Raw genomic sequence first — 16020 nt, forward strand, 5'->3', positions numbered from 1 at the left:
TAATTTTTGTAGTTTTTGTAAAGATGGGGTTTTGCCATATTGCCCAGGCTGGAAGTTTTAAAATTGATAAATAAAAATTGTATATATTTATGGTGTATAACATGATGTTTCACATCTGCGTATGTTGTAGAATGACTGGATCAAGCCAATTAACTTACGTATCACCTCGCTTCCTAAGCATTTTTTGTGTGTAGTGAGAACGCTTAAAATCTACTCTCAACAGTTTTCAAGTATACAATATGTTATTAATTTTAATCAGCATGACACCATGACATACATAATAGATCTATCAAACTTACTCCTCGTACATAACTGAAATTTTGTGGTTTTTGACCAGCAATTCCCCAATACCTCTAACCATCCACTTTTTCTTATTTATTTATTTATTTATTATTTTATTTTATTTTATTTATTTTATTTTTTTGAGATGGAGTCTTGCTCTGTCGCCCAGGCTAGACTGCAGTGGTGCGATCTTGGCTCACTGCAGTGTCCGCCTCCCGGATTCCAGCGATTCTTCTGCCGTAGCTTCTTGAGTAGCTGGGATTACAGGAGTGCATCACATCATCTGGCTAATTTTTTTTTTTTTTTTTTTTTTGTATTTTTAGTAGAGATGGGGTTTTACCATGTTGGCCAGGCTGGTCTTGAACTCCTGACCTCAAGTGATCTGCCCACCTCGGCCTCCCAAAGTGCTGGAATTACAGGCGTGAGCCACCACGCCTGGCCCACTTTTTCTTTTTTTAAAACAAACACAGGGTAGAATGGTTGCCACAAAGTATAATAGAATTGCAATGTGGCTGTTTTTTTTTTTTAAAGCTACTATTTATTGATCAATTGGTATGTGCTGGGCTGTGTGCTGAATAACATTAGGCAGCATCCTGCTTAGTCCCTGGTCTTGTTTTTACCCTCATTTTTTACCAGTGAGGAAGCGGAGGCACAGAGAGGTTGTTACTTGCTCTGGGTCACACAGCTTAGTCATGGCCTCAGCCCAGAATCTGGCTCTGGAATGGGCAGAAAAGTGAGGAAAGGAGAGAGATGCCTGCTGTGGAAAGGGCGGGGCAAGGGGTCCAGCCAGGCACTTGATTCCACAGCAAGCCTAGTGGGCAGGGAGTTGTTTAGGCCTCAGTTTTCCCCACCTGTAGAATGGATGTCATCCAGGTCTCTTCTTGCCCCTGTTCTGGGACTCTAGGAGCTGCTTGCCCAACCCGCTGATCAGTTTGCTTAACCAAGAGGTTTGCTGAGAAACCTGGCCCAGAGATCCTTCTTAAAGGCCAGGTATGTGCTAGGCAGTTTGGGATGGGAGAAGCAGGCAAAATAGGAAACAGACAAGGACCTGGCCTCTTCCTAAAAGCATGGCAGAAGCTCCTGAGTGGTTATGCCATTGACAATATGAGATTTAAATCATTGTTCTCCACCAGAAAGAGACATGTAGGACACTGGTTGTTAAATTGAGAAGTGCAGGGTCTGCAGGACGGCAGGGCAGGTGCAGAGAACTCTCGAGCCTCTGGGAAGGTTGCCCAGGAAAAATAGAGGCAAGGGCTTGACTTTCCCCAGAGCCTTGGACTGAGGTGGTAGATGCTGGGGGAGGCAGCATCTGCAACTCAACTCAAAGCCCAGCTGGCTGGTGCTCAGGGCACCGGGAGGGATGCAGAGCAAGATATAGGGGTCCCCATTTGCAAGCAGTGCAGAGACCTCTTTCTAAGCTTTGCTCGGTGCCGGAGGCCCAGGTGGCCAGGTGGGAACTCTGGCCTTGAGCCTCTCTCTCCTTTCCACCCGTGTGTGTAGCCTCAGCCAGGCTGCTCGCTTCCCTGCGTGAGCCTCAGCTTCCTTTATCTATAAACTACCAAAGTCTCTTCCACAATAGGAGTGTTGGAGAATAGGAAACTGTGTTCATAAACAGCTCAGCCCCCAGAATAAGTCCTCACAAATCTTAATATTAAACAGGGAGACAGCAAAGGGATATTGTGGCAAGCCATGGCATCGCTGGCACGGGGCTGCACCTGCCTGCGTGTGTGTCAAATCTGACCAGGTGATCTGCAGTTGGTTTCAGGCACAGCTGGCTCTGGCTGTCACCTCTGGAACACAGAGACAAGGAGAATGTTTAGCTGGGCACAGGGAGAGGCTTCATCCCATAGCCTCTGTATCAGTCAATTCTAATCACTTGTAGCTGTAATAACCAAAGAGGAAGCTCTTAAAATGGGGAATTATGTATCTCGGCTGCTGCAAAATAACCCTGGGCCCAGTGCCAAGGAAAACAGCCCTTGTCGGCGGGTGCAGGGACGCCTGTGGAGGAGGACTCGCTCCTGAGTACTCACTGCGCAGCGGGGTGACCACTTGTGTGTGTGTGAGGAAGCTGGGGTGACTGGCCTAATTGCAAGTTTGCAGAGGTGCACAGAGATACTCCGGGGACTCCCTGGAGGGTGTCCTCTGAGGTCAGACTGAGCCGCAGAGGGACAGTGGAGGCTAAGCTCCTAAGGGTTTGGATACATCACGGTCACTGTTACTCCCAGCGGAGTGACCTCAGGGCGTCTCTTGTCATCTCTGGGCCTTATTGATCTCACCCTGGGGAGGATGAAGGCTTTATATACCCCAAGGCCAGGGGTGGACTGGATAGTAGTGATAGCGGTAGTAAGAGGAGATAGTCTCAAGTCATAATGTAGTTGCTGTGCATGGAGTGTGTGCCACATCTTGTTCTAAGCACCTCCTGTGCACCCCCCCTCATTTAACCCTCACAACACTCCCACAGGGAAGGTACAGTTACCCCATTTTACAGATGAGGACACTGAAGACTAGTGGGGTTGAGTGACTTGCCTTAGGTCACCTGTTTGGGGAAGTGACTTTCAGCTTCTGGGTTGAGGCTTATATTCTGGTCCCTGTAGGGGCCAGGGTGCCTGGGGCAGCTGGCAGGGAGCCAGGGGGCTTTTTATACTGCGGCTCCAACAGCCAGTGGGGAAGGTTCAGAGGGGACTGAGCCTGAGCAGTAGGAGGGACTAAAGCAGTTCTGTGTGGCCCGTGTCCCAAGGAGAAGGGGAGAGGGAAGATGGGGCCAGAGGGTCGGCAGGGGCATGTGCTGGGACCTGGTGGGCAATGGTGAGGAGCCTGTGTTTTCTTCTAGGGGTGAGCAAAGGGTTGGGCGGGGGCATGAGGACCTGATTCTGCTTTTTAATCTGCCTTCAGCTGCTGCATTGAGAATAGATCAGGGGCGGGCAGAGTAGCAGCAGGGAGACCTGTGAGGAGGCTGCCACAGATGCCAGTGCAAGGGCTGAGGGGCCTGTAGCTCGTGGTTGCCATGGCGATAGAGAGCTGTGGGTGGATGCCAGGAATGTACAGGCGGGTCTTGCTGGAATGGGCTTCTTCAGGGGCAGGGCTGCTGGCTGTGTGTTCTTCAAGGCAGGTGGACCTGTGACTGCAGCCCCCACAGGTGGAGAGGTGGGTGCACCTTAGAAATGAGGAGTTGGGAGACCCCCACCATGCCAGGCACGTGACAGGTCCCCACTCTGCCCTGTTGAAAACCCCCACCCCCATCCTGGCTCAGCCCCAGGTGGTGGGACGATGGGGTCCTGAGTGTGGAAGGGGGTGGAGGCTTCATTTTGTAGGAAATCAGAGCCTAGAGCAAAGGGACTTGGGGAACCCCAGTTGCTCCTCCTCCATGTTTCTAGAGGGTTCTCGAATATTAGTGTGGCAAGTGGGTCTGTGTGCCCAGAGGGCAGAGCCGGGACTCTCAGGGTAGCCGCAGTGAAGCAGACCCCAGCTCCTAGCGGGGATGGACTTGGCCCATCCCAGCTGCCAATGAGGTCATGAGCTTCTGGGTGAGGAGGCTCCAGGGTCATTTCCTGAGAAACACCTTCACTCGGAGGGAGTTGAGTCTCACATCCTCCAATTATGCGCCCACCGAGCCAGCCCACAATGGGCTGCCCTGATAACCATCGGGGGGCTGTGCAAGTCAATGCTGGAACAATGCTGGCTGCTAGGACTATTTTTACAGTAGCCATTGGCCTGTCGAATCCCGCGCCCGGCCCCGAGGGAGCAGGGCAGAGAAAGGCGGCGCGGATGCTCTGGCAGACAGAGGAAGGGCTCCATGAGCTGCCCAGAGGCTTCAGGAAGCCTTTCTTGGTCTGCTGGCCGCCAGATAGTGAAACAATTGGGGTCCCCCACCCCGAGCCAGGGAGAGGAAGGAGGTGTGGGGGAAACGGGGGTTTTGTTGTGCTTTTGTGCCTCTGTTCCTCGAGCACAGCCCCTGTGGGCCCAGCAGCTGGGGCCAAGCCAGCACATCCCCTCTCCACACCCCAAGTCCTCAGGCAGCTACTGCCTCACCCTGCCTGCAAGGCCCTGAGGCCAAGTGACTCGCCTGGTCACAGGATTGGCAAAGCCAGGGTTTGCAGTTGTCACCAGCTGCCTGTGGATGCCACTCTGGGATCCACCTAACCCAGCAGCTCTTGCCTGACACCCTACTGTGTGCCAGGCATGGCGCCTGGCTCTGGGACACAGTTGTGAGCAAGGCAGGTGTGGTCCTTGTCCCCAGGAGCCTCTATTCTAGTTGAGGAGATAGACGACAGGGAAGCGAGGAATTGAACAAGATACTTTCAGGTAGTGTTTGGTTCTCTGATGAGAAGACAAACTCAGATGCCCACTGGAGCCAGCCAAGCGAGTGTGTCCTGAGCTGGGTGGTGAGCTGGCCAGGGTGTGGTCGTGTGACAAGGGTCACGTGACAAGGTGGTCACATCTGCTCCAGTCAGCAATCGCCATGAGGAGTATGAGCTCACTGTGGTCCAACCTTCCAATTTTTCAAGAGAACTCAGAATTCTTGACTTTTCTCTGAAATCTGATTATTTCAGTGTTGGCCACCAGTTTGATCATGAAGACAAACAAGTTGTGTCCCAGACTGCTTGGCTCTGAGTCAGCCACTTCTGCTGTCATCCTTTTTATTCTGCAGATGGGGAAACTGATGCTCAGAGAGGGGCGAGTAGGCCTAGTAGCTCTGGTTTTCCCAGCTCATCCGTTTTCTGTGTCCCTCTGTTATGTTGTGGGTCAGCCCTTGAAGGCAGGGGACCCAGCCTTGAGCTGTTTCCTCACGCTGTGGGCTAGAAATCAGGATGCTCTTGGTAACCCTTGTCAGTTCTCAGAGAGCCAGGGGTATCCACCTTCTGCACAGACGGCCACACTGGGTGTGACTGTGGCCCTCAGGGTCGAGCTGACAGGGTGAGTGAGCACTTGGGGACCTTAGGAAGTACAGAAAGAAGAGGCTCTGGCCTGGCTGGTGGCAGACCTCCCTCTAGACTGGGAGCCAAGCATAAGTGGGCTGAGGGTAACCATGAACAGCTCCGGGGGCTTAGAGATTTGACCTTCTCTGGGGCCTCCCGTTGGCCAAACCCAACAGGGAGCCGGAGGGCAAGGGAACCTGGCTTATAGGATCTACAGGGTCAGCCCCTGGAATCACAGCAAGCCAGAGGATGGTTAGAGAAGGGTGGACAAATGGGGATGAACAAGCACACTTGCATAATCCTCACCAGTGCAAATCCCTTATTTTTTTCTGCTAGAGATGTGACTGGTTAATAAATTGCACATCTATTTCATAAACATCCATTCTCTATACTTGGATGGCAACCCATCTCAAATATTGTTTCCATTCCAGCCTGAAACCCCATTCCTCGTTCGTTTCCGTCTATCTGTTTTTTTAACTTACAGTTATAAATGGTCATCCCTGTGGGCTGGGCACTGTATTAAGGCATTTGCAAAAGAGGAGCCTCCATTTTTTTAAATACAAATCCAAATTTAGAAAATAGTATCTGTTAATTTCTAGAAACTGCTTGCAGGCTGTTATTTGGCAGATGCCTAGAACTGCCTGGGTGTGTTGTGTTTTGTGAAAGACGATGCTAGGGCTGGGGTGCAGGCTGAAGTGTGACACCCAGACGACAAACCTGGGGGCCTCTGGTGCTTCTCTTCAGCAGGTGCCCGGGGAATGGACCTGCCGATTCTGTGGGTTGCAAGTGTCCACAGCCTGAATCTTGAGGTCCCTGGTCCATGAAGGGGTCTGAATGACTCCTGATGTTGCTGTCAAAGCATTGGACAGACAGGGATGCCAGGCCCCTTGCCACAGGCCCGGGCAGGTGGGAGCCGGCTCGTGGATGAGGAAGCAGAGATTGTGTCTGAGACATACAGGTGGTCCCTCATCAGCTGCAGGATGCTTCTCTTTTGTCCCCCATAGAAAGCAAGGAGATGGCCACCAAGGAGAAGCTGCAGTGTCTGAAAGATTTCCACAAGGACATCCTGAAGCCCTCACCAGGGAAGAGCCCAGGCACGCGGCCTGAGGACGAGGCTGAGGGAAAACCTCCGCAGAGGGAGAAGTGGTCTAGCAAGATCGACTTTGTGCTCTCTGTGGCTGGCGGCTTCGTGGGCTTGGGCAACGTCTGGCGCTTCCCGTACCTCTGCTACAAGAATGGTGGAGGTGAGCTTGGGCCGGGCCACAGGGGAGCCCATCCAGTACAAAGCCGCCTTAGAGCTGGAGGCTGGGACCAGAGCGTGGGTGGCCTCTCTTTCCCTGCTTTCCCTGGCCCCCCCCCTTGACCTCCATGAGGTCAGCCTGCCATGCTCCTGCCAACCCCACCCTTAGAGACAGGGGATAAGCCCGACTGAGAATCAGAGTACTGTTCTGCAGGGCCTTTCTGTGTTACCTTGAGCAGGTCCCTCAGCCTCTCTGGTCCTCCAGTTTGCCACCTCCAAAGAGGCAGGACAAGGCCAGGCTTGTGTCTCCCAAGCCCCAGACATTCACACACCTCCTTATCTGTCCGCCATATCTACTTGCCTCTGACTCTTTATCTTTCCTTTAATATTCATGTTTGCTTTTCTAACTTTACCAAATGTACTCCAGAAAGCAAATTCTGTTACCCGCTGTAGATGGAAAACTGGTATCATTTGTCATGCTCCAAAGGTATCCAGGAATAAAAAGTACAGTGAAGATATTTTTTAAATGTAGTGACTGCACTTGGTTGGGTTGATGAGTTGGTTGGTTTGGGTTTTTGGATTTTGGTTTGCTTTTGTTTTTGTGTTTTTGCCTGCTGAAGGCTCCGAGCAGGAACCCTCTGACAGGTCTTCTGTTACGGGGTTGTGTTGAGGTCAGGCAGCACCTAACGGTGGTTTCTTGCTGGTGCCATGATGGGGTTGAAGAGAACCGGATAGGGAGGAACTGCTCACGGCTGGTGACTGCTTGTTGTCAAAGGCTTGTGTGTCAGCAGAGATGGGCATGCCTTGTGCTGCCCACATTAGTAGAACCACCTTTTGGGGAATTTTCCCTTAGAGCCTGGTTTCTTAACCTTTTGTAGGTCTCAGGCCCCTTTGGGACTGTGATGAGTGTCCTAGACGCTCCCCAGAACAAAGCACATACACTAGACCCAAGTTGCCCACAGTTTCAAAGGGTTTATGGACCCGCTGAAGCCATTAGTGGACACCAGGTAGGATCCCCTGCCCCAATGCTTTGCCCCCCCATTCTTCCCCTTGGTCCCGCCCCCACCGGAGATGCCTACCCTCTGCCCCTTACCACCTCACCCTTCCTAGCTGGTGCTTTTCTGCCTCCTGCCCTGGGCAGGCCTGGGGAGGGTAGGTGAAGGCCCCAACAAAGAGGCGACGTGTGAGTGGGTCTTAAGAGGCCAAGCCGTCCTTGTTCAGGGGACGGATGTGGAGGAGACAGGCAGGCAGTAGGCACAGCTGACATGAAGGCTCTGAGGCAGCCGGGCGCGGTGGCTCACGCCTGTAATCCCAGCACTTTGGGAGGCCAAGGCGGGCGGATCACGAGGTCAGGAGATTGAGAACATCCTGACTAACATGGTGAAACCCTGTCTCTACTAAAAAACAAAAAATTAGCCGGGCGTGGTGGCGGGCGCCTGTAGTCCCAGCTACTCGGGAGGCTGAGGCAGGAGAATGGTGTGAACCCAGGAGGCGGAGCTTGCAGTGAGCCGAGATCACGCCACTGCATTTCAGCCTGGGTGACAGAGCAAGACTCCACCTCAAAAGAAAAAAAAAAAAGAAAAAAAGAAAGAAAGAAAGAAAGAAAAAAAAGAAGGCTCTGAGGCTTGAAGTCCCTGGTAGATTTGAAGGTGAGAGGGAGGGCACACTGGAAAGGTGAAACCAGCTGGCCAGGTGGGCAGGGCCTGGAGCATTTCCCACCAGGTCCAAGAGTTTGGCCTTGAGCCTCATGCCCCTCATGCATTCTCTCTGGTTCCATTGGCTGGGAGGGCTTGGGAGCCTTCTGCGTCGGCGCTGCCATGGCCACAGCCTCACTTTTGCCCATTCTGCTCTCTGCAGGTGCGTTTCTCATACCGTATTTTATTTTCCTGTTTGGGAGCGGCCTGCCTGTGTTTTTCTTGGAGATCATCATAGGCCAGTACACCTCTGAAGGGGGCATCACCTGCTGGGAAAAGATCTGCCCCTTGTTCTCTGGTGAGTATGGGACGGAGGTCACTTGGGGCCTGGCACTCATCAGTTCCACACATTTTTATTGAGCACCTATTGTCTGCCAGGTCCATTGGAGCCTCATGCACATCACTTAGCTCTATGCTGACACAAGATAGCAGCCAGTACAGTACCAGTGTGATGCGGATGCTGCTGCTTAGGAGTACGGGGAAAGGAGATGTGGCAAGTGCCTAGCACGCAGTAGCTGCTCAGTAAGGCCCAGCATGCCCACTTCCCTAGGTTGTTGCATAGAGAAGCCTGCAGCTGCACTGTTCACAGTAGCAAAGACATGGAATCAGCCTAGGTGCCCATCGGTGGTGGACTGGATAAAGAAAATGTGGTGCATATATACCATGGAAGACTATGCAGCCATAAAGAATAGCAGTATGGCCTTTGCAGCAACGTGGATACAGCTGAAGGTCATTATCCTAAGTGAATTGATGCAGAAACAGAAAAACAAATACCACGTATTCTTGCTTATAGGTGGAAACTCAACCTTGGGTATACAGGGACATAAAGATGGGAGCAACAGACGCTGGGGACTCCACAAGGGGCGGGGAGCAAGGGCTGAAAGACTACCTATGGCATACTGTGTTCACTACTTGGGTGGCAGGAATCTATGGAAGTGCAAACCTCAGTTTCATGCAATATTCTTCTGTCACAAACCTGCACCTGCACCCCCTGAATCTAAACAAGAAAAAAGAAGCCTGTAGCTACTTGGCAGTAGAGTGCAGCAGATAAACATTCAGGTTCAGGAGGCTTTCTGTCTGGGTTCAAGTCTCATTAACTCCCCTTGATAGTTTTGTGACTTTGAGAAGGTCACTTTATACTTCAATTTTCTCATCTATGAAATAGAAATATAGTCGTATGTTTACTTCACAGGGTTGCTATGAAGACAAAATGACATAGCCACGTAGAATGCTTTGTACACAGTCAGCATCAAATGAATGGTAGCTTCCTTAGTCCTATGTTTAGTACTTAGTATGCACACAAAATAATCACTGTTATGATTTAATTGGCAGAGACGGGAGCATATGTGAGTCTCTTCATTCGGTCATCCACGTAAATCCATTTATCCTTAAGCCTTTCTTCCATTAAACCACTCAGTAATTAGACTATCCATCCATTTTCCATCCATCTATCCATCTATTCATCCTTCCATTCATCTACCCAACCTTCTAACCTACCACCATCCATACATCCATCTAACAAACTGATTATCTATGCAACAAATGGATATCTATCCATCAATCCAACATTCTTCAATTTAGCTGTTTATCCATTCATCTGGCCATTCATTCAATCATCCAACTATCCATCTGTTCATTCATCCATCTATTTATCTCATCTATTCAGCTATCCATCCATCCATCCATCCATCCATCCATCCATCCATCCATCCAAACATCCAACCATCCAACCATCCAATCAACCATCCTCTTTATTATCTATCTTTTCATCCATCCATCTATTTATCCATCCATCCATTGTTCTATCCCCCCTGCCCCCTGCCATCCATCCCATTTATCTAACCATCTGTTGTTTCACCTTTCCATTCAACCAGCCATCCATTCACCCTATAAATATTTGGTGGTCACTGTTGAAAGGCCTCTTGTGGCCTGGGGCCTGGGGATACCATGGCCTTCCAGTTGAGTATGTGGCCGTGGTGGGTCTGGCCTCCCTCAGATGTTTACTCATCTCATTTGCCCAACCTGCAGGTATCGGCTATGCCTCCGTTGTAATTGTGTCCCTCCTGAATGTCTACTACATCGTCATCCTGGCCTGGGCCACATACTACCTGTTCCAGTCCTTCCAGAAGGAGCTGCCCTGGGCACACTGCAACCACAGCTGGAACACACCTCACTGCATGGAGGACACCATGCGCAAGAACAAGAGTGTCTGGATCACCATCAGCTCCACCAACTTCACCTCCCCTGTCATCGAGTTCTGGGAGTAAGGCCACCTCATTGAAGCAAGGAGGAGGACATGGGTGGGGCAGAGAGGATGGCCCACTTCCTTATCTCCTCCCCTGGGATACAGGAGCCACTGTCTTCGGGGGAGTGGGAGGAGGGTGCAGATCTGGAGATAAATTTATGCCTTTGGCCATAGACAGGACTGGAATCCCAGTTCTGCCACTTACTGGCTGTTTGACCTTAGGCAAGCCACTCCTCCTTTCTGAGCCTCAGTTTCTTTACCTGTAAGATAAAAAGAATGAATCATTACTACCCTGTGAGGCAGGTATGCATACTTATGTTGTCTAAAAATGATACAGTTTTCTTAATGTATTTTAGGAAAAAATATATTCTGTTATTGCACAGAGAAAAATGCATATATGAAGCTGAAGTAGTTAAGTGGAAAGTGAGTAGGTAGAGTGAAAAAGATGCATCAGTTAGCTTTTGCTATGTAACAACCATCCCCAGACTTGGCGGCCTTAAACAACAACAATTTATTTAGCTCTTGATTGTTCTGCTTGTTGGCAGTTTGGGCTGAGCTTGGCTGGGCAGTTCTTCTGGTCTTGGTCTCCTCCACGTGTCTGCAGGCAACTGTAGGTCCTCCGGGTAGCTCTTCTGGGGTTTGGCCGGCTATTGGCTGGGGTGTGAGGGGCAACTGGTCCCTGTGGTTTCATCACCCAGCAGGCTAGCCTGGGCTTGTCACCGGCCACTAAGCAAGCACTCTAGGAACAAGAAACGGTCAATCCCCGAAACCCAAGTGCTTTTCAAGCCTCTGTCTGTATCATTTTTGTTCATGTCCCTTTGGCCAAAGAAAGCCACAAGACAAACCCAGATTCAAGAGGTGGAGGAAATAAATTCTGTCTCTTCATGAGAGGAGTGAAGAACTGTAGTCAGTAACTACAGGGAGGATACAGAGGACAAACATCAGAAAGGTGGGATGTGGAGTCCTGATCTTGGGGAACTCTTGAGTGAGCTGATGTGTGGAGACATTCTTCTAACATAGTGCTTAGAGGCTGATCAAAAATAGGCTACTGCATCATTTCCCTCTTCTTCATAAGCCAGCCTTGGGGCTCAGCACTCAAGTGCAGCCCCTTGACCCTGGAAATAACTGAGATGAGGCCTTGAGTGAAGGTTGTGAGCCAGGGGCAGGGGTGCTGTTAAGGAAGAGGGTGGTTCTGGTTCTGAATCATCACGAGATGACAGTCCCTGTCTTTTGTGTGTGGTTTTGCCATTTTCAAGGTGTTTACCCACCTCTTAGGAGCTGGCCCAGGAATGGGCCAGAGAAGAGGGAGCGGCCTACCGACTGGCCCCAGCCATGCTTTGGGGTCAGGGCTGGGACATCGTTGGCAAAGAAGGGGTCGGTTGCCCTCACTGGTGTGGAGCCCTTACTTGGTCGGTCCGTGTCACTGTCGCTGCTCCAGGCCTTCAGTGTATGCTCAGGGCAGGTCCTTAGGCCCACTGTCACTGGGGGTTCCTCTAGTGTGTATATTTTCCACTTACAAACAAAAGGGACATTGGAAGCACAATCATTGCCCCTCGGTTCCCCGCTCCCTGGGGAGCTGAGTTCACAGACAAAGAAAGGCTGGCACTTCCTTTTTCTCACTTGAATGGGGTCCAAGGCACAGCCTTGTCCTTTCTCTGCTGTTTTTGGAGTGGCCTGAAAACCGGGCCTTCCCCACTCCTGGACACTGGCACTCAGCCAGTTACTGAAGGCGTTTGCTGGGACCTCCTTGCCTCAGACATTGACTGGCCTGCCTGGGTTTGAACCCTCACTTTGCCACTTCTAGCTTAGGCGGAAGTATCCCGCTCTCTGGGCCGTGGTATCCTCACCTGCACCTGGGGAGATGGCAGTGCTGACATCCCAAGGTTGTAGGATGGCCCTGACTGCATGAGATCCTGGGTGGCCAGCCCTGAGAATCCATTATTATTATTATTATTACTGTTATTTTGTTTTTGAGACAGAGTCTCACTCTGTTGCCAGGCTGGAGTGCAGTGGCGTGATCTCGGCTCACTGCAACCTCCGACTCCCTGGTTCAAGCAATTCTCCTGCCTCAGCCTCCCAAGTAGCTGGGATTACAGGAACACACCACTATGTCCAGCTAATTTTTGTATTTTTGGTAGAGATGGGGTTTCACCATGTTGGCCAGGATGGTCTCAATCTCCTGACCTCATGATCTGCCTGCCTCAGCCTCCCAAAGTGCTGGGATTACAGGCGTGAGCCACTGTGCCTGGCCAGAATCCATTATTATTTATCGAGTGCCCTCATAGTGCATAAAACTACCCCTCAGGGCAGTTTCTTTGTGTGTTATGAACTTAAAGAATCACCCCCTATTGTAAAGGGGTCATCCTCTTCTGGGCTCTGCTTGTCTCGCTGTTGTCTAGGACCCAGGGGTCTTAGAGAGGGAACACTTGGGAGCAATGTGAGGTCCTCAGGTTGGCCAGTCCTCACTCACACCTTCCAGAGGGACCGGGCCCTCGGGGGTATTCTGGGACCCTTGCCTTCCAGAATCTCCATTCTGAGCACCCCAGCTCCATTTTCTGGCCTGGAAGACACTGAGACAGTATTTATCTTTGGAAAGTGTCTGGTTCTGCAGGCATCTTCCCAAGCTTCTGCATGATCCAGATGGATTTGCTCTGTCCAAAGAACCCTGGCTGCCAGCTTGGTACTCACCTCCCACTCCAGCTCTCACACCTCTCCTACCCCTGCACCCCTAGCCCCAGATTCCAGCAGAGCTTTGTGAGACCACCTGAACATTCACAAATAAGCTGCCCTCTTTCTAGAACCCTGGGGAAGATTGAGGGCCATGGAGCAGGAGCCTGGAAAGCAGGCTTAGGCAAGACCAGCACTGCCTCCTGTGACCTGCCTTCACAGCACAGGCCGAGGCCAGAGAGCTACACCAGGGGACAGCTCAGTTCCAGCCCTGAGCCAGGTGCCGTGGGCAAGAAAGACCCGGCCTCCTGCCTTCAAGAGCCTTCTCTTTTCTTGGCATGCAATGGTGGAAAGGCAAGAGAACCAGTAGGGAATAGTTGACTCCTGTGAGCATAGTACTAGGAACTTGCCCCTGTCATTTCTTTCAGTCTCTAAGTAGAGGAAATAGCTAGGCATCATCCAAAACTCTTCTTTCTACCTCAAATCCCACATCCAATTCACACATCTTCTTGGCTCCCCCTTCAGAGTATACCTACAATCTGAGCACTGTCCCCATGCACTGTCACCCCCATGGGACCCCCATCACTCTCCTGGACACCAGCACTGGCCTCTTGGATCTCTCCGTGCCTTATCCTTGCACCTCCGTAACCAATTCTGAATCCAACCTGTTAATTCCCAGCTCAGAACCCTCTCATGGCTTTTCCCATGCTATGATCTCACCCTGGCAGAAAGGATTGAGACTATTTCAACACAGCAAGTGCTCACTGGGTGCTGAATCTCCTCATTAGTTCCATGTCTTCATCCACCTGCGTGGAGCAGCAAATCACTACCTCTCTCTGGCTCACTTCCCCATCTGCAGATGGAGGAGCATATGAGCTGGGCTTTGAAGGATGAGTAGAAGTTCACTAGGCAGAAAAGGAGAGTGACAAGACAGTCTAGGTAGGAGGAACAGCCCATGCAGAGTCAGCATTCTGAAAGCACATGAGTATTTGGGATGGTTTGGCTAGAGCATAGGATGCACGGGTGAGGGCCAGGTAGGGCCAGGGAGAAGGGTCAAAGCCTTGAATGTTAGGCGGGTACATTTGAACTTTGTTCTCTTGGAGGAGGAACCATAGAAGGTATATGAGAAGGGAGGTGGTGTGACTGAATTGAATGTGATTTTTGGACATTCCTTAAGGAACACACTGGTGGGAAAGAGAGGCTGGATGTATGCTGAGCACTGACTGTATACGGGGCCTCGGAGACCTCAGCCTTCAGCAGGTCTGGGTTCCCTTTGGGTGAAACTTATCTGAATCCCCCTGAAGATAGCCACCAACCCTGCAGCGTCTGACCCTGGGGTTTCTCTCGAGTGAATCTTGTCAGGATTTTTTGCGCGTTGCTGTCTGGGAGCCAGTTGGGCGGCAGAGCAGTGAGGATACCCTCGAAGGTTGGTCTTGGTGACCCTCAAGCTGAAGCCCAGCCCCAGCTGTTGCTTCCTTTCACTTCTCTTATATGCCCCAGATGCATAGGTCCCTGGCCCGTCCTTTCCTTCAGCAGGAGTTGCTGGCAGGTGCTGCTGGCAGGTGCTCAGTAGTCTCTGGAAGTCAGGGGTACGAGGCACCAGGGGAGCGGAGCCATCTCCCAGCTTCTTCTGGGCAGGAAAGGTCCCTGTTGACCCTCCCTGCCAGCCCTTCCTCCCTCTGTTTTCACAGAGGAGGCAGCAGAGCAGCAATGGGTGACATTCCCCTTTCCTTGTGGGGGGAGACAAAGCTCAACTCTGGCTCCCACACATCCCAGCTGCACGACCTTGAGGCAGTGACCTCACCTCTCCACGCCCTCTTCTCTCCTCTGTAAACAGAAGTAGCGTGGTCCCAATGACTCACAGCCTGGCTTGAGTGTTTTGGAGCTAAGACCAGGGATGTGCTTTGCAGGGGGCCACGGGACACTGACGATGCAAGACGTGCAGTGCCCTGCCCGAGGTCACGTGCACAGCTAGAAGGAGCAAAGCTTCCAGCCCTGGCATTCAGCACTGCATCCTGCCTCCAGCTAACCTTTTGTCTGTGTCCCCACCAGCCACCAGCCCAGAGCCCGGGCCAGGCTTGGGAGCCCAAGTCCATGGTCACAGGTCACATTGTGCCACATGTGTGTCTCCCCGCTCCCAGGTTACTCTTGGGGTCTTCTCTCGGCCTGGACCCCCTACACCCACCCTGTGTGCAGTGCTAAGTCACCATTCTCAGCAGAAGCCAGTGAGCTGCACTTTCCCAGATCCTCATGAGAAGCCGCTGGGGCCCCAGAGACAGTCATTTCATGCTGGCTTTATAATTGAGCGCCGAGTTGCTCTGGGATGGGGAAGCAGAGCTTTTGTCCCCTGCTTCTCCTTGCTGTCTGGGGTCACCTCTGTCCCAAGGTCGCCCTGGAGGACAGGCGGGGCCAGACCTGGCCAGAGGCCCTCCATCAGGCTGGAGCCGTGCCTTCCTCCTAGGCTCCTCCAGACCCCCTGGGAGCTCGGCACGTATCATTAGACTTTATTAGAATCAAAGAAATGAGTCATATTTGCAAACAAGGCCTGCTCAGCCAATCTTCCCCTGCAGCTGTCGGAAAGAGGAGGCGGTGGAGAAAGGCTGCACGGCCCCGTGCTCTGGGCGGACGGGCCCTTTTATAATTGTTGCCTCTGCTAGTCTCCAGGGGAGAGCCATGGCCAATAAATGGCTGGCGTGCAGTCAAAAGGAAACGATTTGGCCCGCTAGGAGGACGTATTTACATCTCTGAGTGCCGGCTGGACGGCAGCAGGGCGGCCGACTCAAAACAGACGTCCAGGCAGTTCTTTTTTGGATCCCACCCTGGAGTGAATCATTACTATTCTTGGACAAGAATGCAGCTTACCTCGGAGTCTCCTCCCTCTGTATGAGACAGACGAGGAAGCTGGGGATGATGGGGCCCTTGCCAAGGCCAGCACCATGCCCGGCACATGAGGTGGCTGGCCCCAGGGTGGCATCA

General features: G+C 51.8%; 1 protein-coding gene across 9 annotated transcripts in view, besides 2 other annotated features; it reads left to right on the forward strand.

Moving 5' to 3' along the window:
- SLC6A6 (solute carrier family 6 member 6) overlaps positions 1–16020 on the forward strand; it is an 86774-nt gene that overhangs the window by 34846 nt on the left and 35908 nt on the right. For 6 of the 9 annotated variants that reach the window (NR_103507.3, XR_940495.4, NM_003043.6 and 3 more), the window contains 3 exons: positions 6203–6442; positions 8296–8430; positions 10161–10395. Coding sequence is in view for 7 of the 9 variants with exons in the window: in XM_006713307.3 (XP_006713370.1) it covers positions 6203–6442; positions 8296–8430; positions 10161–10395 (610 nt within the window). In the remaining 2 variants the exon portion in view is untranslated. Of the gene's footprint in view, positions 1–6202; positions 6443–7316; positions 7446–8295; positions 8431–10160; positions 10768–16020 lie in introns of those variants that run through there. The other 3 variants (XM_047448762.1, NM_001134367.3, NM_001134368.4) reach the window with 3 other exon arrangements.
- Positions 1976–2476: an enhancer, noted in NCBI's record as "H3K4me1 hESC enhancer chr3:14480905-14481405 (GRCh37/hg19 assembly coordinates)". NCBI's record gives its function as "activates a minimal SCP1, AML or CMV promoter by ChIP-STARR-seq in primed H9 embryonic stem cells {active_cell/tissue: H9 hESC(primed)}" and the evidence as "EXISTENCE:reporter gene assay evidence [ECO:0000049][PMID:30033119]".
- Positions 14045–14852: an enhancer, noted in NCBI's record as "H3K4me1 hESC enhancer chr3:14492974-14493781 (GRCh37/hg19 assembly coordinates)". NCBI's record gives its function as "activates a minimal SCP1, AML or CMV promoter by ChIP-STARR-seq in naive H9 embryonic stem cells {active_cell/tissue: H9 hESC(naive)}" and the evidence as "EXISTENCE:reporter gene assay evidence [ECO:0000049][PMID:30033119]".

This window comes from Homo sapiens, chromosome 3 (genome assembly GCF_000001405.40).
Source record: "Homo sapiens chromosome 3, GRCh38.p14 Primary Assembly".
Taxonomy (NCBI): Eukaryota; Metazoa; Chordata; class Mammalia; order Primates; family Hominidae; genus Homo; species Homo sapiens.